The sequence below is a fragment of the Homo sapiens genome, chromosome 7, assembly GCF_000001405.40.
Source record: "Homo sapiens chromosome 7, GRCh38.p14 Primary Assembly".
Lineage (NCBI taxonomy): Eukaryota > Metazoa > Chordata > Mammalia > Primates > Hominidae > Homo > Homo sapiens.
Genome location: NC_000007.14, coordinates 102,921,388 through 102,948,265, shown reverse-complemented (window position 1 = coordinate 102,948,265; position 26,878 = coordinate 102,921,388). Strand labels below are relative to the sequence as shown.

The 26,878-nt window shown below is 39.8% G+C and overlaps 2 protein-coding genes across 25 annotated transcripts in view, besides 2 other annotated features; one reads left to right on the top strand and one right to left on the bottom strand.

The window, feature by feature from the left end:
* The window catches only part of FBXL13 (F-box and leucine rich repeat protein 13), a 263,608-nt gene that overhangs the window by 126,531 nt on the left and 110,199 nt on the right, over nt 1-26,878 (top strand). For all 21 annotated transcript variants that reach the window (NR_105043.2, XR_927410.4, XM_017011850.3 and 18 more), the window contains 2 exons: nt 16,333-16,385; nt 21,892-21,992. Coding sequence is in view for 19 of the 21 variants with exons in the window: in XM_017011850.3 (XP_016867339.1) it covers nt 16,333-16,385; nt 21,892-21,992 (154 nt within the window). In the remaining 2 variants the exon portion in view is untranslated. The remainder of the gene's footprint in view (nt 1-16,332; nt 16,386-21,891; nt 21,993-26,878) is intronic.
* LRRC17 (leucine rich repeat containing 17) overlaps nt 3,155-26,878 on the bottom strand; it is a 32,112-nt gene continuing 8,388 nt past the window's right edge. For 2 of the 4 annotated variants that reach the window (XM_047419717.1, XM_005250108.2), the window contains exons 2-5: nt 14,689-15,207; nt 13,581-14,492; nt 8,681-8,836; nt 3,155-4,056 (exon numbers count right to left, since the gene is read on the bottom strand). In XM_047419717.1, the coding sequence (XP_047275673.1) occupies nt 3,659-4,056; nt 8,681-8,836; nt 13,581-14,352 (1,326 nt within the window). In that variant the 5' untranslated portion in view covers nt 14,353-14,492; nt 14,689-15,207 and the 3' untranslated portion in view covers nt 3,155-3,658. Of the gene's footprint in view, nt 4,057-5,923; nt 5,977-8,680; nt 8,837-13,580; nt 14,493-14,688; nt 15,208-26,878 lie in introns of all 4 variants that reach the window. The other 2 variants (NM_005824.3, NM_001031692.3) reach the window with 2 other exon arrangements.
* Nucleotides 3,912-4,477: an enhancer, noted in NCBI's record as "OCT4-NANOG hESC enhancer chr7:102584236-102584801 (GRCh37/hg19 assembly coordinates)". NCBI's record gives its function as "activates a minimal SCP1, AML or CMV promoter by ChIP-STARR-seq in primed H9 embryonic stem cells {active_cell/tissue: H9 hESC(primed)}" and the evidence as "EXISTENCE:reporter gene assay evidence [ECO:0000049][PMID:30033119]".
* Nucleotides 7,540-8,040: an enhancer, noted in NCBI's record as "H3K27ac hESC enhancer chr7:102580673-102581173 (GRCh37/hg19 assembly coordinates)". NCBI's record gives its function as "activates a minimal SCP1, AML or CMV promoter by ChIP-STARR-seq in primed H9 embryonic stem cells {active_cell/tissue: H9 hESC(primed)}" and the evidence as "EXISTENCE:reporter gene assay evidence [ECO:0000049][PMID:30033119]".

Genomic DNA, 26,878 nt, shown 5'->3' with positions numbered 1-26,878 from the left:
ATGGTGAAACTCTGTCTCTACTAAAAATATAAAATTTAGCCAGGCATGGTGGCGGGCGCCTGTAATCCCAGCTACCCGGGAGGCTGAGGCAGGAGAATCACTTGAACCCAGGAGGCAGAGGTTGTGGTGAGCCAAGATGGTGCCATTGCACTCCTGCCTGGGTGACAGAGGGAGACTCCAACTCAAAAAAAAAAAAAAAAGATCCTCATTACTGAATCCCTTTGATTTGCCAATTTGCCAGAGCAGGAGACTCAGATTTCTCAGAAACAGACATGAATTGATCCAGGGCATAGGCTCCAGAGGATGGAATGGTGAATGAATGAAAAAGCAGTGCTGCTTAACATTAAATATCTTTCTCAAGTAACTAGGCATTAGGTCACAGCCAACTCAGGACTCAGGAGGACTCCGTTTATAGTAAATCTTGTTTACTTCAGAAAAATCAGAGAATCTTACGACTAGGAAAGGGTTTTTTTTTTTAACTTATTTTATCCAAATATCCAAGTGATATATACGTTCAAATAGGTATATCTCAGGATAGTAGTATTTTTTACTACTGTAAAATATACTGATTTTTGTAACCTTATGAACTTGTATTGTCTGTCGTAAAAAAGAGACATCCAAAGGCAAGTTACAAGAGTAACTATAAAGTAAGAAATTGGTGGAAGAGGAAGTGTCTAATTGTTCATTCCATCATGAATCAACTACACTTCCCTGAAAAAGTTTAACTCTGATGTAGAAAAGGGGCAAATCTTAAGATTTGAAAGTCCACTTCAGTCTTGACCCTGAGAGATGTTAGCAATACCTACTGACTTACTTTTGGATGGCCTGGATTAATTTCTGTTTTGATGTGTTCAGGAGCTTTATTTCCAAATACATCCCTGGGGATTAAATTGAATATGAAAATCAACCAATAAAATCCCTAACTAGCCTCTAAAAATTATACTGAGAACAACTTGGGCTCTTTCTCTGAATCAGGTTTCATCTCATTTCATTCCAGAATCCTCTTGCCTCCAGTGTGATTCTGTTGTCACACCAGGCTTTTTCCATCATCAAATCTTGGCTCTTTCAGGTCCTATGTCCTTAAAATTCCACTCTGAGGCTCATGAACAATAATAAATGAATTTGTAAATAAATGAACTTCTTACATCTCTCTGGTAACATTTGAAATGTAGTAGCTGGCTTTCATGCCTCATAGTGAACAATGTAGGGATTTGCATGGAGAAGTAACGTCTCTAAGTCCCCACCTCTGACCCAGACCACTGGGCAGAGTGGTTAGAACCTCACAATCCAGTCCAGGCTCAGTGGCTCATGCCTGTAATCTCAGCACTTTGGGAGGCTGAGGCGAGCAGATCACCCGAGGTCAAGAGTTCGAGACCAGCCTGACCAACATGGCAAAACCCCCGTCTCTACTAAAAATACAAAAATTAGCTGGGTGTGGTGGTGGGCGCCTGTAATCCCAGCTACTCGGGAGGCTGAGGCAGGAGAATCGCTTGAACCCAGGAGGCGAAGGCTACAGTGAGCCGAGATTGCAACACTGCACTCCAGACTGTATGACAGAGCGAGACTGTCTCAAAATAAATAAATAAATAAATAAATAAATAAATAAATAAATAAAATAAAAATAGAAACTCACAATCCAGAGTTATTTACTGAAGCGTTAGCTCTGGCAGTTCTTCTGGCTTCCCATTCTCTGTTTCCTGTAAATAAATACAGATCTAAATGTCTCGGACAAAAGACTTTCTCCTGCCAACTGCCCTCACGAGTGCTCCCCCACTTTCCTGGTACCTGCTCCTCTTTGGGGTTTGGTTCTGGAAGTTCTGGTGCCAGACAGCCATGGACAAGGATAACTTTTACAATGCTGTGCAGCTCTGCATAGCAGAAAGGGCTTAGGCAGATCTGAATCCTGGCCCTGCCACTTGCCAGCTGTGTGACTTTGTCCAAGTTACCTAAACCCTCTACCTTGATTCCTCACCTATAAAAGGCAGACAGTATCACCTACCTCAGAGGGATTTTGTGAGAATTAGAAGTAGCATATGTGAAGCTCTTAGCATGGTGTCTGGCATGTAGCATGTGCTTTAAAAGTGCATGGCTGAGTGTGGCTCACGCCTGTAATCCCAGCACTTTGGGAGGGTGAGGTGGGTGGATCACTTGAAGTCAGGAGTTCAAGACCAGCCTGACCAACATGGTGAAACCTCGTCTCTACTAAAAATACAAAAATTAGCCAGGCATGGTGGTGAGCACCTGTAATACCAGCTACTCGGGAGGTTGAGACAGGAGAATCGCTTGAACCCGGAAGGCGTAGGTTGCAGCGAGCTGAGATTGGAGCACTGCACTCCAGCCTGGGCAACAGAGCAAGACTCTTATCTCAGAAAAAAAAAATGCCTAATACTATTTGTTATATACCATCTTCCATGCTTTGGGAGTTTGTGCAAGTATCAGATAAGGTGGTTATTTGCTAAACTTTGTAGGAATACCTTGATACAAGAAATGAAAATGTATTCAACTCAGCATGAAAGGAAAATGTATATTAAAAGGAAAAAGTAGTATCTCACTAAGGACATGCGAATATTTCTTTTCACTTTATTTTTCTCTTTGCAGAATATGACTATCTAAATGCAAACTGATGGGATCAGGGTCTAAAATCCTCCACTGATTTCCTCTTTTGCTGGTGATCTAGTTCTCTAGGTGAGCTCATTTTAACCTGCAAACCCAAATCACGGGGCTTCTTTTGGGCACCACCTCCTCCCTCAGTGGCCTCGTATTATTTCCTATATTTTATTCTGGCTTCATCCCAAATACTGCCCCCAAATCCTAATTTCATTCTTTATTTTATGCTCCTCGACATACTAGCTTAGCAGGAAGGGCCCTTTCTCACGGACAGGTGGATTCCCAGTATGAACCCTGCTCAAAACAAAAACAAAAACAAACAAACAAAAATGGTGTCTCCATATTCACGAGTGTTTATACCTCTTCAGGGCTCATGCTTCACACCATCTACAGCTGTTATTCAGGGTCCTAGCTTCTAACCAGCTTCCAATGTAATTCTCACATTCTCTTCTTATTGTTTGTGACAATTCCCTTTCAGGTCTAGCTTGACAGTACTTTGCAAGGATCAGTGAAGAGTGGTTGAGAATTTGGATGTATCAGGACCTCATTTTGGAATGCACAGAAATCAGAAATGGAAATTTATTTAATGTATAAGATGACTTACTGAAAAAAAGTAGAGGGGTAGGGAATGACATTTTATTATAACAGCATTTGTATAAAATCATTTTGATCATCTTTAAGTATGCACAAACAGCTATCGAAAGGCATGTAAACATGAACCAAGTTTTTTTTCTTTATTTTCTAAAAGCAGTAAAAACATTTATACAGGACATTATGAAAGTCTAATGCCATCATTAGGACCCAACTGCTGCAGGTTACCAGTGTGGAATTGCATATCACCAGATGCTGTTCCACAAATGGACAGGCAAGCAGGATGATAGCATTCTCTTGATTACTATAATAGTCACAATAATACTTATAATTAAAGAAAGCTTCCTTTAGCTGGATTACCCTGCATAAATAGGCAACACAGTTAATCAAATGTAAACATATGTTTTCTAACACCAGTATAGAAAATACAAAACTAATTACAATCAGAACAATTTCTACCTTATCCTACTATAGTAATTATTACGCTTTGCTTCTTTGCGGTGTGATCTCTATGTTTTTTTTCCCATTCATCATCTTCTGTGTCTTGGTCAAATGACTCAGGATATGCTGGTAACTTGTCTTTGGGGCATTCTTCATAGTAACTTCTAATATATTTTCCCACAGACCATCCTTTGTATTCTTCAGGCGTTTTGCATTCCAGGCCATTAAAATGGACATTGTAGTGGTGCTTTAACCAGTAGTAGAGGTAGTGAATGTTGTAGTCACATCTCCAAGGGTTATCTCTGAGCCACAAGAGTTTCAAAAAATACAAGTCTTCTAATACGCCATAGTCAAAGTTTTGCAGACTGTTGTTTGATAAATCTAATTCTTCTAAATGTGTGAGCCCTAAAAAAGCGGCTGGAAACAGAAAATATTTATTGAGCCTGAGTAATTGAGTTAATACAGTGTATGGCATATGGAAAGGACAAATACAAATTTTAAAAAGAGGCTTAATTTTCCCCTTTGAAAATAAAGAGATTTCTTTTCCTTTCTTTTTCTCAGAGCTTTTACTTTAGAAAACTTTTAACTATAAGTACTTTCTCCTCTCTTTGAAATGTCTTTAAATCCTTTTGAAGACTAGATAGGCTTTTTGTCACCTTTATGATGCAAGAATGTATTTTCCAAGGACATCTCCCAGCTCTGGTGGGAAGGTGGGGTCCTAACTTTGGTGAGATCTTGCTTCCAGTTGCAAAACTACCTCCTGTCATGAAGACAGAAATTTATTTTTCTCTGAATAAGGCCAATAAGCTAACACAGATGGTCACTCCATTTACCAGGTAAAGTTAGGATGAATTATGTGTGACAAAAGGTGTTGTCAAATCTTCTTCCTTAAGGATTCGTTATTGCTTGTCCTGAAAACGTATATGTAATGGGTGGTATCTGCTTGGCTACACAGGGATGAGATTCCTGTAATGGGTGGTATCTGCCTGGTTACATAGTGGCGAGAGTCTTTGCAGTCTCTTAGTGGATTGCCTGTGATATGCGTCACATTCTGGTTTAATGCTTAGTCAATAATGAAAGTGTTTCTTTCGTTACTACCTTTGTGGAGAGAATTTCTGGATTGATAGAAGGTTTTGTTTTTAATTATATTTCTTCACTGTAAATGTGTCTAAATGCAAAATTGTGAAATATATTGTTACTCAAAGCTTTTCCCTTGATTAGTTTTACTAGAATACAATATTCAGTTTTAAGTTAGCTTTAAAAAATGTATTTTGGGCTTTTTTTTTTTTTGGTATTTACTTGGGAAAAAAAGATGCTACAAAAAAGAGACATGAATTAAGAAAATATTTCGCATGTAAGACAAGTGCAGATAAAAATGAAAAATGTGCCGGGTGGTGATCTGACAGTTCCTGGGATATCAGTAACACTGAAAATGCCTAGAAAACAACCTTTTCCCAGTGTTGGGGGAAGGGTTCTATTCCTGTAGAGTCCAAAAACAATTTTTCCACATTTTGAAAACATCTGGTTGTATTTTGGCAAACTATGGTAGCTATCAGCTTTGAATCCATATGTATTTAATTTTGCTGGAGGCTGGATAATTAAAACCAATATAACTGAAAATAAAACAACAAAAAGCTTTTTTCACCCTCTAAGAGCAAAGAAATCTACACCTGGGTTATCTGTATTCCAGTTGATATGGACCAGCCAGATACTCCAGAAATACTCACAAATATTTTGTTTCTATTTCAAACATTATCTCATTATTGTTTTAAAATACTCTTGTAGAGCATAGCGTCCTTATTTTGAATTAGGAAAATATGTGGTCATACCAATACTATTAACTATTTTCATATTATCTGTTCTCAGAAAAAACCCATAATTCCCCCTTAAAAAAATAACTTTCTATTTTGGTACCAAGCAATGTCTTGCGGGTAGGGGACAAAAGATCAGCCCTTGTGTTCTGAAGATACTGGATTTTTTCTATTTGCTAAAATTCTGTGAGTCAGTGATCTCACAGATTTACTTTTCTCAAGACATTAGACTTTGAGATTAAAAGCATATGTAAACATTCCTAGATTTTATTTTGAAAGTGTTGTATATTGTTATTTAAACCATATATATTCAGGCACTTGAGAAAACTAGTTTTAGTCTGTTTCTTAAAGGAGGTAAAAACCCCCTAGTAGGGTATCTTCTTTCTCTTTTCCACAACAATGTCTGGCATTTTATATGATTGTTATTCACGTCTTTTAAAGTCTGGCAACTCCCACTGCATTTGTATACTTACCACAGCAAAAATCATTCACGTAAGTCTACTTGCAGGGTTTCATCTCAAAGACCCTGAAATATAGGAGACCTTTCATTTTAAAACTTCTTTAGGTCATTTTGCCTTAACTGCCAAGATACTTTTTTGTTTCAAAAGAACTTTTGTTCTAGGAAAGTGCTTGGCATTTGGTAGGTGCTCAGTAAATATTTATTAATGTAGGAAATACGTTCCTGAGATTGAATTGAACAAAGGGGGAAAAAAGAGTACCACCACTGATGGTAGAGACCATTTTGTGTCAGCAAGGAACACACATTTGGTGAACAAGATTAAAAGGCCTTCAGGGGATCCTAAGGACAGAAAAGGAATCCCTGCAATTATGGGAATTCCACAACTGATGAAAAGTATCAGTTACGGGAAACATGTGAAAAACATCAGTAGAAGCAAGGCAAGTCCATTTTACACTATTATCTATCTCTTTGCATTGTCTTCTCATTTTTCTCAAGTTTTCTTTGTATACTAGTTTTGTTGTAACTAAAACATTGCCACACTGTTACTCATTACTTTAATACATTTAACTTAGGACATATAATAACTATTATAATCTTTTTTTTTTTTTGAGACAGCTTTAAAACTTGTTTGCATTGATAGTTGGTAAACTACAGTTTTGCTTGTGGATGACAGCAGAAGGAAATTAGACACTTGCCCAAGGACCTTTGGAATGGCTTTTGCTTGTCCTGAGATTCTTTAGTTTGTAGCCATCCAATGGGTTCACCTTGCCCGCTGCCTAGACAGAGTCTATTTATCAAGACAGGGGAATTGCAATGGAGAAAGAGTAATTCATGCAGAGCTGGCTGTGCGGGAGACCAGAGTTTTATTATTACTCAAATCAGTCTCCCTGAGCATTCAGGCATCAGAGTTTTTAAAGATAATTTGCTAGGTAGGGGCTTGGGAAGTGGGGAGTGCTGATTGGTCAGGTTGGAGATGGAATCATAGGGGGTCGAAGTGAGTTTTTCTTGCAAGAAAGGGTCTCCACTTCCAGATTCTTTACCCTGTACCCTGGCTTTGTGGACATGACACTGGCTACCAGTGACTGACTTGCACACTAATGTAATGCTAACTTCATTTGGGAGAAGGGTGTCTGTAGTATCCTTATTTATTGAAAAATGAAAATTGCTTTTGACTTCACAGTTCAAACATACTCCCAAGTTAGCATCATCTGTAACAAGCTAAGGTATAAGTGTAGCATACTGCTGTCCCTTGGGAAATTTTAAAAAATTATGCTTTTCTAATTTTTAAAAAAAGGTTAACTCTAAAATATGCCCTTGTGGCTCCAGAATGTTCATTCTAATTTTTCACTTTTATTGTGTTAAAATTCTAATGTTCTATTAATGGTATTAGATTATCATGAAGAAAAGCAGGGGAAACAGTTGTACTCAAAATGTTTATAACATTACATTACATTATTAATAATTTTAATAATCATTTTCATAGTTAAAACTTTTCAAATTGAAGTAGCCTAGTGAAAGCACTTGTGTTATATATGTTATAAATCTGGTCAATATTGCAGTAATTCTCAGTTCTTTCCAAATCCGATGTGTTTACTTAATTTACCAAGCTCATTTTCGCCAGAGGCTTTGCTTAGCAAATGGAGAAGAGATTTGAAGGATGGGAAAGAGAATTGGTCTTGATCTAGAACTAGATATAATATGTCTGGCTCTGGTTTGAGCACATTTTATCCTAATTTGAGCTTAGTGCTTAGCAGTTTGTTTCTAATTTATTCTAAACAAGATGGGGCTTAATGAATAGCAAAAAAAATTCCAAATTTGAATTTCCCTTTAAAAATCACTACATTTAGGCCAGGCATGGTGGCTCACGCCTGTAATCCCAGCACTTTGGGAGGCTGAGGTGGGCGGATCATGAGGTCAGGAGATAGAGACCATCCTGGCTAACACGGTGAAACCCTGTCTCTGCTAAAAATACAGAAAAATTAGCCGGGCGTGGTGGCGGGTGCCTGTAGTTCCAGCTACTTGGGAGGCTGAGGCAGGAGAATGGCGTGAACCTGGGAGGCGGAGCTTGCAGTGAGCCGAGATTGCACCATTGCACTCCAGCCTGGCAACAGAGCTAGACTCCATCTCAAAAAAAAAAACAAACAAAAAAAGTCACTACATTTGGCCAGGCGCGGTGGCTCATGCCTGTAATCCCAGCACTTTGGGAGGCCAAGGTGGGCGGATCACCTGAGGTCAGGAGTTTGAGACCAGCCTGACCAACATGATGAAACCCCATCTCTACTAAAAATACAAAATTAGCCAGGCCTGGTGGCACATGCCCATAATCCCAGCTGCTTGGGAGGCTGAGGCAGGAGAATTGCTTGAACCCAAGAGGCAGAGGTTGCAGTGAGCCGAGATCACACCATTGCAATCCAGTCTGGGCAACAAGAGTGAGACTCCATCTCAAAAAACAAAAAAAAAACCACTACATTTTAGTATACTATTGACCATTTGCCATATATTACTTTAAAAATCTATAACACACTATTTGGGCTAACTGAATTAAATGGTAGTAATATGTGGTATTACATACTTCATAAAGCAGCATTTTGGCAAGTATTTATCTGAGTGGCAAACAACTCCTAGTATAAGTGTCATGTTTAATTAAAACTTGTACTTTATTATTTAGTTCAGTTACTTTTAAACTGAATTTACTGTATATAAGTGTTGCCATAGAAAAAAATCACAGAACACTTGCCACCCATTGAAGGGGCTATACAGGGGAACTTACCAGGATCGATGAATTCAATGCCATTGCTGCTGAGGTTTAATTTCTTCAGCTCATGAACATCTTCAAATTCCTTGGGTCGAAGTTGGTTGATTTTATTGTATGACAAGTCAAGTTTAACAATATCTGGAGGGATGTTGTTTGGCACTTTTTTCAACTCTGGAAAATTTAATAATATTTACGTTATTATGCTCTTTTTGCCCCCATTTCCTCGGTCACCGTTATATCTGTGTGATTGAAGAATCAGCTCTTAAAGAGAAGGGGTAAAGGGATATCTAAAGCCAAAGAAAGTTAGTATGAAACAAGCCTTAGCATACGCTAAATTCCATCAAAGCCCAGCAAAGCCTACAGTGACTTCCCATCTAATTGTGATGAAAGCCAGAGTCCTCACTAAGGCCCTATAAAGCCATTAAGACCTGTAGGTCATCCTTGTCACCAAAGTCAGAACCTCCTAGGTTCTAGAAAGCAGCCTGTTTATCAGGACTTGCTTATTGAACCCACATCTGCTGGGCTGGACATGAAGGTGGATGACAGAGCAACCATTTTAGGGCAAGCTAAAGTGGGTTAACCACAAATAAATGGGTCGAAAAAAATGTTTATGAGAACACCCTGACACTAGGCCTAGGCAATGTGGCAGATCTGTGGGTGCTGGAAAAAGAATATAAACTGCAGAATCCATTTTGGGATTGTCAGCAGCAGTCCTGGGTAAAAATAGCATCCACAAGTAATACCAGGAAATGCAAAACAAAGGCTTTCCTAGTGTGGCTTAGAAAAACACAGGAAAATCTCATTTGCTGTGTTGATAAATAGAAAAATTCTTTAGTTCTTTTACCTTAGAACTTCAATGAGAATTGCAAATATTGCAAATATTGATGCAAAGTGTTTGCTTTTGATAAAGAGTATATAAATATACATTTCCCCAGACCAGAAGGAGAATTTGATCAATGCCCCTATTTCTAGTCCAGGTACTATGTGGTATGCACATTTCATATATACTGCTACCCCAAATTCTTGGTAAATGCCTCAACAAATACCATATTTACTTGATTATTACCCCTTACAAGCTTGCTCCTTCTCCAGCCAAATCTTGTTGATTTTGAGGAGGAAATTAGGAAATTTCTCCAGGTAATTTCCCCATTTAGCAGGCTATATTGGTTGTCAGCAACCTCAGAACTACTCTGAAAGCTTGTAGCAGTAAGAAAAGAGACATAAATGGCCCTGTTTATTGCATATACAAAATTCTTAACTATTGTTCAAGCTGTAGTAAAATTGTGACCTTAACTTTGGAGGCAGCTAAGGGTAATTTACCTGCGTAATTCTCCCCCATCTGATGTTAGAAGTAAAATAACTCCTTAAAAATGGTAAACTATTCTGGTCAATGTGAAGCTAAAGCAGTTTAAAAACTCTGACTTTCATGTATTCTTGACAAATCCGTTTACCTCAATATGGCATAAATATGCCTTTCAATTAGTCTCACATTTATTCCCTTTGAAACACTAGGATTTCTTGGCAAAGTACCTGTTTCTCAGTGAATAAAGCTATTATTTCTTTTTCTTGCCATTAGATATTTAAGGCAAAAATACATAGTGATCATTGAGGTCTGTGTGGTTGAATGGGCACATATTAGGTCCCCTATACACACCATCTGACTCATTGCAAGTCAGCTGGGCAAGTCTCAACTCCGAGTTGGGGAATCTGTATGCAAGTTCTCTATGTGTGACCATGTATATGTGGTATACTTGTACCGATCCTCAGGTTGTCACACTTCAATTCTAGCCATGATTTTTAACTTCTGTGTATTTTCACTTTCAATGGTTGCTTAAATTACTGCTTTGAAAGAATAAAGAAGAGTAGTCCAGTTATCATCATCAATCTAAAGCACATGGCTCTGTGGCAGGCACTACCAAAGGGAATTTAATAAACAAGACTCTTCCCTTTGAATTTATGGGAATCAGCAATATAACAAAAAATGAAAAGTAAATGATGAAATGAATCACTAGATTTATATAAACCACAGTGAAAGCCATTTGTACTGATAGTATTAAAAGACAAAGCTACCCTTCATTTTTTTTTTTTTTTTTTGAGACAGAGTCTTGCTCTGTCGCCCAGGCTGGAGTGCAGTGGCGTGATCTCAGCTCACTGCAACCTCTGCCTCCAGAGTTCAAGCGATTCTCATGGCTCAGCCTCCCAAGTAGGTGGGATTACAGGTGCCTGCCACCATGCCTGGCTATTTTTTTTTTTTTGTATTTTTAGTAGAGATGGGGTTTCAACTTTTTGGCCAGGCTGGTTTTGAACTCCTGACCTCAAGTGTCCCACCTGCCTCGGCCTCCCAAAGTGCTGGGATTATAGGCGTGAGCCACTGCACCTGGCCTACCCTTCGTCTTATAATCTAAAATAATAGGCTCTGAATTACACAGTCATTAACACTTGGAGGAACTTAAGTTGTTCTTTGATGACCCAGTGTTACATATACTAAGTGTGTATGTCATGAAACCTTATTTATATTGTGTTTCAGTAAATAATGTGTATTTTTAAAGCAGGGGGTATGAATTTATGGGGCATTTCTGGAAGGTTGTGTTTACACAACAATAAGTTGAAGAAAGCAATAAAAATGTACTTATTTTTATAAGCTGATGTTTTTCAAGAGAAAAATATGGGAAAAAAGGAAAAAAACACAAAAGCAGAAATAGGCTCATTGGGGGAGGGAATGGCCCAAGAGCATAAAAGCAGTGAAAAAGAGACATTTCCTCACATGTTATCTCTTCTTAGAACACAGTGTAGTCTCGTTGTAGAAGTTTTAAATCTTGTATAGATGGTATTTTTCTCAGATAATTAATAAACTTAATACTATTTACTTTTCTCATTTACACCTGATACAGCAAGTGCAAATTCACTGTAGCTTGAGGTTAGAGCCTCAGCAATATCAAGTATTCTAACTAAAATCTAGGAGAGTAGCTTTGTATTAGTATTAAAAATATATAATTCCAGTTTTCAATCTAAGCACCACAAAGGAAATTCTAATAAACATGCTCTTCAGCATGAAGCACTAAGGACTCACCATAACAATATCCGGGAAATTCTACCCACTCTGGCTATAGAAAAACTACATTTACTTACTCTTTGAAATTCTCTAATGGTTGCATTGCTGAGACAGCTGATTGTTTGAATATGCTCAGATTAATTCTGGAAGATTGCAGGGTGAAGTAGAGAGCTCATAGGCTCTGGCTCAGATAGACCAAGATTCACTTCTTAGCTTTGCTACTTACCTGTGAGATCCATGGTCAAGTGACTGAACCTCTTTGAGCCTCATTTTCCTCATCTGTAAATGGGAATGTTACTATCTTCCTGGAAGTTGTAGACAGCATGCGTGTGTGGGTACCTGGAGCCTAGAATGGCATGTCCCAGGTTATGAAGCTGTATGTAACTGCTTTCCTATGGCACTGAATTATATACAGTTCACAGGGTGTCTTGGTAAGCAAACCTCCCTGTGCCACATGGCTGCTGCTGTGGGATCTAACCAGGTGCCATCTTTACAGCTGGGGTGGGGGGCAGGGGAGCGGGGCAGTGGGGCAAGGCTTGAGCATGACTTTGCTGGTAAATGAGCAAATTTACTTCTGGTTCAGGATGCCTGACAACATTAATAAATTCCTGCCTAACATTCTCTCGAGAGGAGCCACGGCCTCCTCTCTGAACTTCCCCTTTCTCTTGCCCTTAAAGAAACAAAACATAGCAAAATTTCCCAAAATAAGTGGAAGAAATGATACTGTGCTCTATATGAACCTCACTTAATGACATCTGGCTTTAATATTACAAATAAATTATTAAACCATGCCAGAAATGAAACATATAGACATTGTTACATGGTTCGTTATTGTAGGGTAGATTAGCAGTTCCCAGACCACTCTTTGAGAACATCAATCTTCACTAACATGTCAAGAGCATTACTAAAATCTCCCGTCTGTTTTCTTAGCTCATGACTTTATCTTGCATGTGCAAATCCTGCATAATACTAGCACAAGATTGCATCGGTTGCAAAACCCAGTAATGATTTGCAGGAAGTAGGTAATATTCTAGAAAGATTTCCTTAGTCTCATAGTTCTCAGGTTAAATATTTTAAATTTAGTTCTTTAAATTTTTATTGTTTTATTCTGGGTAATTTGGAAATAATTAAGATATAGGATGTTAAGAGGCATTTATTAAAATCAGCTACTCGAGAGGCTGAGGCAGGAGAAGTGCTCGAACCCGGGAGGTGGAGGTTGCAGTGAGCCAAGATTGCGCCACTGCACTCCAGCCTGGGCATCAGAGCGAGAGTCCATCTCAAAAAAAAAAAAAAAAAAAAAAAAAAAGAAAGAAAAAAAAAAAGGAGCATGAGCATAGGAGCATTTATTAAAACCTTGGGACTAAATGATAAGAAATACCGAAGGGCCATCACTTTCACTCTGTCTCAGAGTGCTCTCACAGTCCTGTCCTGCAGATGTTTTCTCTTTGAGGTGATCTTCTCACAGATGCACACCATGTTTTGGCTTTAATCGGTGTAAGTCAGGTTATATAGATGGCATTTGCACTTATTTTCATACCCCTTGGTTTACCTACCTAAATTAAATTGGAGTTAAGATGAAAGGAATTCCTTACAGTGACAGCTTGCGATGTGCAAATGAGTAGAACCCAAATGGCTGCCCTCCTGAGGATACCTCCTTCCCTCCTGTCATTGTCCTTTAATTACCAACTGCCTTGAGTCTGGACCCCAGAAAAACTTGTGGTAAATTCCATTGTCAATAGGGAAGGATTTCTGGTGGAAGTGACATCACGAATTCCAAGACATGGTGGGATGTAGGGAGGATTATAAGATTCAAAGAGCATTTCAAGTTATTCATGAAAATGAAAAAGTAAGAAAAGTACAAACCTTTCCTTTTGCAGTCCAGTGTTTGTATGGGAAACACATAATTGTGGCAAAAAGTTGAGTCCACCTCAGGCTTGATGACTGGGGGTCTCCCTGACACTTGGGGTTTCGGGTCCAATTGTTCCTTTTCTTCTTCATTACACAACTGTTCAGATTTTATCTGCCGCAGTTTTTTATTTTTTTGTTCTTGTGGACTTTCACACTTGGCGTAGTTCCCCAAATTCCGGTTCCTGGGAATCTGCAACATTGAAATAAGCGTTTCTATCTCACAAGTACAGTGCCAGGGGTTGTCATAAAGACGCAGGTAGCTCAAGAGAGGTGTGTAAATGAACACTTCCTCCGTCAAGACTTTGATCTGGTTGTGCTGCAGTAAGAGGGTGGTGAGTTTGTTTAAACCAAAGAACGCCTCACTCTCAATTTTAGAGATCTCATTCTGCTGCAGATCCAGGCTTTTCAGCTTTTTAAACTTGGAAAACATGTTGTTCTTCAATGTGCGGATCTTGTTTCTTGCTAGCAGCATGTGCAGCAAATCCTGAGGCCAACCAGGCAGCACATAAACTAATTTTCTTTCTTGACAATCTAAGTATTTCTCATGGAGATATGTGTACACGTCACACGGGAGGCCTGGTGCGTAGCGTTTGACCGGGTTGGAGCCTCTCCGGCCTCCACCCGCCCGGCCATGATTCACTCGGCTTCTCACACTGCCTGGGCTTGCTTTGCGCAGCTCAGCCGCTTTGCAAAAGCAGAGCAAGATTACAATGGTAACCACACGCATCCTGACATCCAGCTGGCCCCAATTACTTCGTGTTACAGACGGAACAATGAAAGTATTCCTTTGAAATCCAAGTCTGGGTAATCTTAACTAATGCAGTTCTGGAACAATGAGACCCAGCTGGGGTACGTGGAGTCCCTAGGCTGGAAGAGAAAAAAATATATATTAAAAATTAAGGCCCATTGCAAGCACTGTATTACTGACAGATAAGAACAGACTTTTTAAGGCAAAGGCCTTCTAGTTCCACAGAACAGTGACGTAGAAAGCTCCTTCCCCTCTTAGTTGCCTGGGTTAGAGGCCAAATGTTTGTGCCCTGAGTTTGAATCAAGGCTCTCTTACCTGCTTAACTGTATCAACCTGGGTCATCTTCAGCATCTGTAAAACGGACCGAGGATACCTCCTAATATTGTTGGGAGGATAAAATAGGCTCATGCGCATAAGATGCTTCACATGGCCACCCCGGGGGAAGTAGTCACAAATGTTAGGACTCAGCATGATGAAAACCGAAGCCTGCAGTTCACCATCACATCGGATTTAAGAAATTCAAAGAATTCTCCTTCTTTAAAAGAACACAGCCTTGAGATGCACACACAAGGGTAGGACTTGAATTGTTGTCTTCCTGAGCCTTTTTTTTTTCTATCCTTTTCTGTCTCCCAGTCACCAACCATGTTGGGTGTGGGCTCCAGAGATGCTTGGAGTAAATGGCACTGTCCTTGTCATCTCCTGCATGTCTTGGCTCAAATGTTACCTTTTCAGTGAAAACTTCCTGTTCAGCCCTATTTTAAATCACACTTCTTCCCACTTGTTGGGTGCTCCCAATCCCTTTTCTTCTTTCTTCTCCATGGCACTTACCACCATCTGTCAAAGTAGATATGGTATTTAACTTCTTTTGTTTACTGTTAGTGTCTCCCCGCTAGAAAGTAAACTCCTTAAGGGAAAATATTTGTGTCTATTTCGTTAACTGCTATATCTCCTTGATAAGTATTTGTTGAACTGATGAATTACTCTCAAATAACTATTCTGGCCAGGTGCGGTGGCTCATGCCTGTAATCCCAGCACTTTGGGAGGCTGAGGCAGTCAGATCTCTTGAGACCAGTCTGAGCAGCATGGGGAAACCCCGTCTCTACAAAAAATACAAAAATTAGCCGGGCATGGTGGTATGCACCTGTAGTGTCAGCTACTTGGGAATGACAGTAGGGGTTGCTGAAGTGAAAGGATCGCCTGAGCCTGGGAGGTTGAGGCTGCAGTGAGCCAACATGGTGCCACTGCACTCTAGCGTGGCTGACAGAGCAAGATCCTGTCTCAACTGTCTCAAAAAAACGAAACAAACAAACAGAATAACTATTGTATTCTGTATGTCAACTATTCTGTTTATTATTATACATGCTGAATTATTTATGATATACATGTTGAAGTATTTGGGGGGAAGTGTACTGGTGTCTGCAACTTACTTTGAAATGCATACAAAAATAAGATGATTGAGGGCTATAGATAGAGATGAATGAGTGGGTGGATATGTGATAAAGCAAATACAGTAAAAGATAAATTAGAATCCAAGTAGTGGCTATATAGATATTTATTGTACAATTCTTTCCACTTTTGTGTATGTTTGAAAATGTTCATAATAAAATGTTAAATGAAAACAAAAAAATAAAAAAGCAGGCACAAAAAACCAGGTTGGTTTTCTTCAAGTGCTTTCAAGCTAAAAGCTCTAAGTATATAGTGTTTTTCCCAAAGTAATATTTTTCTCTTTTCCCCTTACTCCTATAATCCTCAAACAATAATAAACATGTCTGTGTATTTTAATTCTGAAGCCCAAAAAAGCCATTTTTCTGGGGAAAGAAACCATATACTTAGAACATGTTACTTGCCAAGGTTTTTGTTTGTTTTCTAATGAATACATTGCATTCAATGTAAGATAGAAAAACTTTGTTTAAACATTTGCAATATGTAGTTTAGTGACGTGTAACTTATTTGATTTAGGCCACTGTAGGAACTTGCAAGAGTTGAATGTCTCTGACTGCCCAACATTCACAGTGAGTATAAGCAACCATTTTTACTGCTGTTTATATAGATTGACTTGCTACATTGGGGTGCCAATATGCAGAATAGATGCTTGTGTGCTTATTTGGGATTCAATGTGGAAAAGAGCAAACTATGTTAAACATTGACAAGAAATTTTACTCCATCTGCACAACGCTAATATTAATCATGTAGATGTATGCTCAGTGTTGGAGCCTCTGGCAAGTAGAAATTCTTCAATGACTACCCAAAATGAACTGTATTTATATTTAATGGTATGTGTGTATGAGACAGAAAAAAATTGGGCCCCAGTAGACATGATAGGCTCATTTTATCTTCATGGCTATCAACAGCTGTGCCAAAGAAGATGGAAATGAATATGTTTCCCTAGTTGCTTTCTTCCTGGTTCCTGTCTCCAGTCTTTCCCTCTGTCCCCAACCTGTCTTCCATTCTGTGAGCACTTTATACTCTTTGTAAAAGGCAGATATGACTACTTCACTCTCATCTTCCACCAGCTACACACACTGCCGTCATCTACACAGTTGGATAAAGCCAAAGCTCTTTAATATTACTCTACCTTGAAGACCCTCTGTGGTTTTGCCTCTGCCTCCCTTTCCAGCCTCACTTGTTTCAGTTTCTGTGTACACACTAATTTGCAGTGCCTACAGCTGCTGAGTTTCCTTTTCCTGCATGCTCCAAGTTGCTCCTTGCAGTTGTGCATTTGCTCTTTGCTTAAAATGCCCTTTCCCTTTGTCCCCAAGTGGTGCTTTCCTCTTTATCAAGCTTTAAGTCTTATTATCACCTCTTCTACCAAGACATCACTGGCTCCCAGGGCTGGGTTCACTGCTGCTCCTCTAGGTTCCTATGATAAGTATCCTTAACCATAGGGTTTTGGCTTCCTTCACTAGCCTAAGAGACCCAAAGGGCAGGAGATGTGTCTTGTTCTTTGTGGTAGTCATAGCACAACAGCACGAACTTTGGCATATTATATTCAATAATATTTAGTGAATGCAACTATCTGGAGATACCAAGTAGGCAATGGACAACATTGACTAGAATTGAGATTCCATCTTGGGTTGACATCTATGTATAAGTCATAATTAACATCATAAGCGTGAATAAGATCAACTTAGAAGGTTTGAGAAGAGGAGCAGACTTAAAGTTGAGCCTTACGGAATGCTGACTTTTAGGAACAGAGGATATTCAGAAGGAATAGTAAGAGAAGTAGGTTGACAATGAAGAGGTATCACAAAATGAAAGTGAGTAAAGAGTTTCAGAAAGAACCAAAGTGAACAGGTAAGAAAAGGACTGAACAATGCATTGTAGATTTGAGAATCAGAAGGGACTGCCAATTATTGCTTCAACAGTTTCAGTGGGATATTGGAGCAGAAATCTACTTGCAATGAATTGTGAAGTGGAGAAGAGGTCAGAAGGTGAGGCATTAGGCATAAACTGATCTTTCCAGAAAAGTGTCTTAGAGAGTGGTAGAAGGAAAACAGGGGCAGGGAAATGGAAACAGGTTTATAGAGGATGATGGAGAGTCAGCTGAAGCAACTCATGGAGTAAGTCCCTAACGAGATAGGAGGGAATAGGAGGAAAAGCCTGGCTGTGGAATGCCAATCATGAGGCACCAGCTCCACCATGAAGGCCAAGCCCTCCTCGCTGGTGAAAAGACTGCATGAATTGGCCCCTCCCTGCTACCTCTCAGCCTCATTTTTACAGCCTCATCTTTCTAGTTTTTTCTTTCAAAATTCTACTCTATTTCAATACTGAACCACTTGAAGTTCCCTGTTCATGTCATGCTATTTCATTGTGTCTTTGAACTTGTTTTTCCATCTGCCTAAATGACTACCCTTCCCTCCCCACCACCCCTAGCCCAAACTGGCTAACACCTGTTCATTCTTTAACACACTCTTCAATGCTATCGGGTCTTTCCATTCTCTTTGTTTATTGACCTTTAATAAACAGCTTTATTGAGATATAATAAATTTATATTTATATTGAGATTAAATTTACCCACTTAAAGTGTACAATTTCATGGTTTTGGTATTTTTACAGAGTTGTTTGACCATCACCACAACCAACTTCAGAACATTTCCCTCACCCCTAACAGAACCCATGCCCATCAACAGTCACCCTTCATTTTCTCTCAACCCCCGGCCCTATGCAATTCTGTTCACTTTTTGACAGTTAATTTCTAACTTAATTAATTTTTTTTTTTTTTTTTTTTTGAGATGGAGTCTCACTCTGTTGCCCAGGCTGGAGTGCAGTGGTGCCATCGTGGCTCACTACAACCTCCACCTCCCAGGTTCAAGTGATTCTCCTGCCTCAGCCACCCAATTAGCTGGGATTATAGGCACGTGCCACTGCACCTGGCTAATTTTTGAATTTTTTTTGTAGAGATGGGGTTTCACCATGTTGGACAGGCTGGTCTCGAACTCCTGAGCTCAAGTGATCCACCCGCCTCGGCCTCCCAAAGTGCTGGGATTACAGGCGTGAGACACCGCACCCAGCTGACAGAATTAATTTCTCCCTCTTCTGAGCTACATATGGTCTCAGTACTTCAACACAGATACTTCACACTGTATTACACTTATGTTTACATATGTATCTCCCGTTTTAGAACTGAGCACTTTGAAAATCCTCCTTTAGTAATTTTTCCCCATGAAATCCATCCCATTTCCACAGTAAAACATCTTTTCAAAACATGGAAGGCATTATACACAAATAGAATGTGTACAGAAGAATGTTAAGACCCTCAGAACTCCTCCACTCCTTACCTCAACACACAGAGTCAGCATTTAAATTAGTTGTTTAATCCCTGTCCAGCAGAACATAAAGAACCACCATAGACTGTAAACTAAGCATCTTCTCAGTGGCTTGTACTTTAACATAAATAAGCTGTTCCTTTATGTTCAAAAGTACCCTTCAGGGTCATCCGCAAGAAATGGAGGCATAGACAGACATGTCAAATATCACATCAGAGAAAAAAATGTTCTGCTTTCTCTGGTTGCACTCTTTCTCCACTAGCAAAGTGAACGTGGGCTCCTTCATGAAGAAGGATTTTAAATCTTGACTACTACATTCTCCAGATGTCTGCCTGTCATTATAATGAAGTTGTTTGTCAAATGGATTTACTCTTTCTGTGGATGTTTTAGCACCTACTATGTTAAATGTGTTCTGCTAGGTGTTGGAGGGAATTAAAAAACTAATCATTTTTCAGTTCTTGTCCTCAGGGAGCTTCAGTTGTGTACTTGAGTAAGATATCATATTCTTTGAGTTTGGCCCTCTAATAGGGAAGTCAAAACAATGCATTGAATTTGTGAACATCAAAGTCTTGTCCGATTTTGGAGTCTAATAATATACAGGGCTGATAATTTTATCCAGCTACATTTTACTATTGTTTTTCCCTTTGAGACGTAGACTGGGACACAGGCTTACATTTAAGGAGTTGGGTAACACTCATTCGAAGAGCTTTGATTTCTAAGCTTATCCTATGAAATATATTACATTCAGAAAGATTTGAGTACATTGTGGACAAATTCATAAGTCATTCTGCAATGTAGGTACTCAGTTTTTGCATTTATGTGTTCAAACATTTGGGGATTAAATCTTGAGTTCTTTTAAGTACTAAGAATGGGAGTGGTCTAAATTTGTTTGGATGTTCAAGCTTCTTTAGACAGGAAAATGTAGAGAATGCATTACCTCCTCATCTCAATCTGAGAATGGGAGTGGTCTAATTTTGTTTGGATGTCCAAGCTTCTTTAGACAGGAAAATGCAAAGAATGGATTGCCTCCTCATCTCAAACAGAAAGTCAGATTTCTTTATGATACATAAAGCTACTCCACCTTCCTCTTCCTGGTCCCCACATTTTCATCTTTGTGGCTGCCTCTCTGAGGGTGTTTAAGTGAGCTCTTTCTCCTTTCCTTGCCCCATCTCATTTGCATTTTGCCAAGGTCTTTCAACAAGTGTATAATCACTTTGATACTTGATTGGCATGCCAAACGTTTTCAAAGACAGATTTTCATTGTGTTGAAATACAGTGCCACACGTGGTTATTCTCTAGATTCTTTTTGGAAAAATTGTACACATTTTATCTATCCATACCTATTCAAATCCTTCATTTTGGTGATGGGGCATCTAGAAAAAATGCTGACAGCTTGAATACTGTAGTTAAGAGTAGTGTTTATCAAAAGCTCTGCACTGGCCTCTCATGCAGCATGGGTGCATAGAACCTTCCCTATAGCAGAATCACAGAGATTTACAGCTTCAAATAGAATCTTGTGTTCTCTTTAAGGTGTGGTTTGCTGCCCCTGTAAATCAACCAATTCCTATCTGAGTGTGACAGATGCTCTGACCTGCAGGATTTTATTGTTTTAAAAATCCATGACTACTGGAAATAGTAATGAATGGAATGTTAAACCTCAATGATCCTGTTGAAAATAAGCCTTTACTATCTTTAGTGGTGTTAGGAGTGGTCATATTTCTGATGCAGAATTCTTCTCAGAACCACATCTTCTAGCCTAGTAATGATTTACCTCTTCCAGACAGATAGATACCTGCAGTGGTCTATTCTTTCTGGGACTGATGTAGCGTCAAACATTGCATGCACCACTAATACTTAAACTGGCTGCCCTGTTGATGTTCCTGGGGAGATTCATCAATCATTAAATAAAAACCTGCTGCTACTCGTTGTATTTTATATAGTGTTACCTATACAAAAAGCAGCTTGTTGCAGTCAAAGCTTGCAATTCATCTGGTCTTGTAAATTTCAACTTAGAATCTGTGCTTGAAACCTCTGTTTTTCTGTCTCTCTTATTTCATGGTCCCACTACTCTCTTACTTCAGTTTTCAGCTTTCTGGGGGAAGGATGCTTGAATCTTTGAGATCCTCCCCCACCCTACTCCCAGCATTGAATCTCCTGCCCAACTGGTATGTAGCCTCTATTTTATTTTAGCCATCTCAAACTTACCATAAATCTGGTGAAAATCTGTTCAGCTATTTAAAATATTTAGTTAACAGAACCACAGAAGCTTAATTATACACACACATCTATGTATAAATGTATATGTGTATAAATATGGACTGTTACTAAAGTTCCATTGTTGAGAGTGTTTAGTATGCCTTTCAGAATAATTTTAATAAGTTTAAAATGGATCAGTTTTTAATTGCTTTCCTGCATATGAAGAGTCAGAAGTGTTTGGCACTTTGACATGTGAGCTCAAATTTCGTGTGACAGAGTTGAACTTGCATGGGTTCACATTTTAATGAAGTGTCATTGTGATGGAATGAGACTTGATTTCCAAGGAAAGGGAAAAGGAGGGAGTAATGATGCTTTGAGCAAAAGCATTGGCTTCTATTTAATTTCATTTCAACCTAATAGTAGATAAAGAATATGAAGAAACCAACTCTTACATGTATTTTTTTCTGGAACAGGAAGAGGGATAATAGAAAGATAATGGGGAAATTGCAAAGCCTGCTATAATTTGATAAGCCTCTTCCCTCTGTTTTTCATGCAGGATGAATCAATGAGACACATTTCTGAGGGCTGCCCGGGGGTCCTGTGTCTCAATCTGTCTAACACAACTATCACCAACAGGACGATGCGACTCCTGCCGAGGTAATGTTTGTGTTATTTGTATGACACTGAAAAAAATTATGCTCCCAAAGTCTCTGGCTTGCTCTAGCATTCTGCAAGGGCAGTGCTCCCTTTATCAACACCCCACCACTGTGGCACTGCTTTTCTGATAAGGGGTCTGCTGCTTTCAAGTCCCTAAGCTGGTGCCTGAACTGGTCTGCCTTGGCTAGCATTTTTGTGACTCTTACAGCAATGTGCCCAGTAGCTTGAGTTAGACTTTGCCTGCTTCTTTCTGGTCCCCCATTCTGGGCATTCAAGCTTTCTGGCCCTTACATTCCAGTCTGGTGTCTGGGACCTTTTTTTTTTTTTTTTTTTGAGACAGAGTCTTGCTCTGTCGCCCAGGCTGCAGTGCAGTGGCATGATCTTAGCTCATGGCAACCTACGCCTCCCGGGTCCAAGCGATTCTCATGCGTCAGCCTCCTGAGTAGTTGGGATTACAGGTGCCCACCACCACGCCTGGCTATTTTTGTATTTTTAGTAGAGATGGGGTTTCTCCATGTTGGTCAGGCTGGTCTCAAACTCCTGACTTCAGGTGATCTGCCCGCCTGGGCCTCCCAAAGCGCTGGAATTACAGGCGTGAGCCACCACACCCAGCGGACCTCTTTATAATAGAATGCCAACATCCTGATTACCAACTTTGAGCACTTTTGTCCCAGATCCCTGTTCCCATGCTCTGGCTACCTGTTGAGACTCCCACCACCTCTAGGGAGCTTGACACTGCTTGTTTTTTGACCGTTTATGGAGTGTTGACAACATTGGACGTGAATATTGCTTCTCTTTTTTGGAGGAGAAGGGACAGAATAACAAAAGAATTGACAGAATATTCAAATTTATCAAAAATTTTTCTTTTTAGTTTGTTTTCAAACAGGGTCTTACTCTGTCACCCAGGCTGCAATGCAATGGTACAATCATGGCTTACGGCAGCCTCAATCTCCTGGCTTCAAACAATCCTCCCGCCTCAGCCTCCTGAGTAGCTGGGACTACAGGAGCATGCCACCATGCCCAGCTAGTTTTTGTATTTTTCTGTAGAGATGGGGTTTCACCATGTTGCCCAGGCTGGTCTGAAACTCCTGGGCTCAAATGATCTGCCCACTTGGGCCTCCCAAAGTGCTGGCATGAGCCACCATGCCTGGCCCAATTATTCTTTATTTTCATTACAGAAAGGCCAGTTAGGAAGGGTATATGATCACACTAGGAGAGATTCAAATTTGACTTTGGGAAAACATTTCTCAAACTATTGTGAAAGAATGAACTATTTTTGAGAATATAGCTTTTTTAAGCTCCTTTGAAAAATAACGGTGATGAGACATTTAGAAAAGCTTACACAGGCCGGGCACGGTGGCTCACGCCTGTAATCCCAGCACTTTGGGAGGCCGGGGCGGGTGGATCATGAGGTCAGGAGATTGAGACCATGGTGAAACCCCGTCTCTACTAAAAAATAGAAAAAATTAGCCGGGTGCGGTGGTGGGTGCCTGTAGTCCCAGCTACTCGGAGGCTGAGGCAGGAGAATGGCATGAACCCAGGAGGCGGAGCTTGCAGTGAGCCAAGATTGCGCCACTGCACTCCAGCCTGGGCGACAGAGCGAGACCCCATCTCAAAAAAAAAAAAAAAAAAGAAAAGCTTACACAGAAAATTCTCGGTGATAATTTTCTTTATCTTCTGACTCTAACCATTTTCTGCAAATGTACCAGCCTAAGAAGTGGCACCATATTTTCTATTTATCCCACTAATTAAGCTGTCACATTTTTAGTCAAATCTATAAAGCTTTCCCTTTGAAATTTCTTCTGATGCTCTTACACACAGTCTTCCTCCTGCCAGGCATTTAATATACATTTGCTTATTTTAGTGTGTTCATGTATTTTTACTTAAATATATAATCAATCTAGAATTAATCTTGATAGATGAATGAAGTGATGATCTAAATCAGGGGTCAGCAAACTACAATCCATGTGGCCCAAGGCCTGTTTTTTTGCAGTACCTAAGCTAAGCATAGTTTTACTTTTTTTTTTTTTTTTTTGAGACGGAGTTTTGCTCTTGTTGCCCAGGGTGGAGTGCAATGGCGCAATCTCAGCTCACCGCAACCTTCGCCTCCCAGGTTCAAGCAATTCTCCTGCCTCAGCCTCCCAAGTAGCTGGGATTAGAGGCATGTGCCACCACACCCGGCTAATTTTGTATTTTTAGTAGAGAGGGGTTTCTCTATGTTGGTCGGGCTGGCCTCAAACTCCTGACCTTAGATGATCCACCCTCCTTGGCCTCCCAAAGTGCTGGGATTACAAGTGTGAGCCACTGCGCCCAGCCTAGTTTTACATTTTAAATGTTGTTAAATAGGTAACCAATTATTTCAGCATCATTTATTGAATAAAATTTTTATCAAATCATGTGTGATTCCTTCTTATATATCTAAAATTCTTTTTATTTATTTATTTATTTTGAGATGGCATCTTGCTCTGTCACCCAGGCTGGAGTACAGTGGTGCAATCTTGGCTCACTACAACCTCCGCCTCCCAGGTTCAAAGCAATTCTCCTGCCTCAGCCTCCTGAGTAGCTGGGATTACAGGCGCCCGCCACCACGCCTGGCTAAGTTTTTTTGTATTTTTAGTAGAGATGGGGTTTCACCATATTGGTCAGGCTGGTCTTGAACTCCTGACCTCGTGATCCGCCTGCCTCAGCCTCCCAAAGTGCTGGGATTACAAGCGTGAGCCACCGCGCCCGGCCTTAAAATTCTTATACAGGCAAGAAATACTAAAAACTCATTACTTTCTAACATTTTTCTGCATGTTACTTTATCTGTGTTCTTGTAGTTATTTATGTCCATTGTATCTCTACGGTGAAAATGCTACTGCACATTTTTTCCCAACTGTGTGTTTGGTGACCTCTCATTGATAGCTTGGAATTGGCCAATATGGAAGTATTCTATACCACGGAAAACATCAAACACTACAAATCGGGGCTTGATTTATTGTTCAGTTGATTGTTTAGACTTAAAGTGATAGAGAACACAATGAATGAAGCAAATTAAATTTAAAAGTAGGTCATGTCTGTAGCCACGACATTGTGAAATAGCACAAAATATTGAGGAAATATTCTCTCAATACTTGAAAACTATTCTTTGATTTAGGAAAGAAGGCATTCACATCATTGACAAGCAGATTTTGGACATACCTCTTTGACATATATCACCTTGTGTCTTATTAATGTTAATAAAAAAATTCATATTGGAACTGTAATCATTCTTCAATTTCTTTTGTTTTTTTAATTTTCTTTTTCTTTTTTTTGTTGAGACGGAGTCTCGCTCTGTCGCCCAGGCTGGAGTGCAGTGGCGCGATCTCAGCTCACTGCAAGCTCCGCCTCCCGGGTTCATGCCATTCTCCTGCCTCAGCCTCCTGAGTAGCTGGGACTACAGGCACCCACCACCACACCCAGTTAATTTTTTTTTTTTGTATTTTTAGTAGAGACGGGGTTTCACTGTGTTAGCCAGGATGGTCTCGATCTCCTGACCTCGTGATCCGCCCGCCTCGGCCTCCCAAAGTGCTGGGATTATAGGCGTGAGCCACCACGCCCAGTCATCATTCTTTAATTTCAACCATTGGTTGGCTGGCTACATTTATAAGAGTTTCATTGACAAAAGTCAATGAAAACATTGTGTGAGAATTGATTGGCTACATGGAATTAACAGTAAAGAATATGGTATGTTTTATCATTTGTAAGTTGCGTGCTACACATCCTTTATATCCGCAAAATAGTAAAATATAAAATTTTATAGTAAATGCACATACATTTATATGCATACTTTTTTTGGAAAGCCAGTCATTAGATACTTATCAGTAAACCAATAATTAAACTAGGAACTAATTTATATTTTTGCATTTGCATGATTTGATTTCTTTCCTTTTAGAAGTAATAAAAAAAATATGGTCATGAAATGACTTCTAAATAAGAATTTGGGAAAAGTTTGTATAACTTGATAAGTATTGTTTTAACTTTCTAAACCAACTATTCTATATTTGCTTTCCTCTTTCACTCAGTAATGTTTATTTATTTATTTATTTAATTTTTTTTTTTTTTTGAGACAGAGTCTTCCTCTGTCGCCCAGGCTGGAATGCAGTGGCACGACCTCAGCTCACTGCAACCTCCGCCTCGCGGGCTCAAGCAAGTCTCCTGCCTCAGCCTCCTGAGTAACTAGGATTACAGGTGTCTGCCACCACACTCTGCTGATTTTTGAATTTTAATAGAGACGAGGTTTCATCATGTTAGCCAGGCTGGTCTCAAACTCTTGACCTCAAGTGATCCACCCACCTTGGCCTCCCAAAGTGCTGGGATTACAGGCGTGAGCCACCATGCCTGGACTTGACCCAGTGATATTTAGAGCAAAATTTTTGGTTCTAAGTAGTTGAAGTTTCTTCAGTTGAGCTTCTGCTTTTAATTAGGCACTCTAGTCAAGAAATGTGGACTGAATTATTTCTACTTTTTGGAATTTATTGAGATTTCTTGGTAGACTAGTTTATAATTAATTTCCAAAAATCATCCGTGGATGCTTAAAACAGAGCTTCTTTTATTTTTTATTTTTATTTTTTTTGAGATGGAATCTTGCTCTGTCGCCCAGGCTGGAGTGCAGTGGTATGATCTCGGCTCACCATAGCCTCCGCCTCCTGGGTTCAAGCAATTTTCCTGCCTCAGCCTCCCAAGTAGCTGGGACTACAGGCACTTACCACAACACCCAGCTAATTTTTGTATTTTTAGTAGAGACAGGGTTTCACCACATTGGCCAGGCTGGTCTCAAACTCCTGACCTCAGGTGATCCACCCACTTCGGCCTCCCAAAGTGCTGGGATTACAGGCATGAGCCACTGTGCCCGGCCCAGAGTTTCT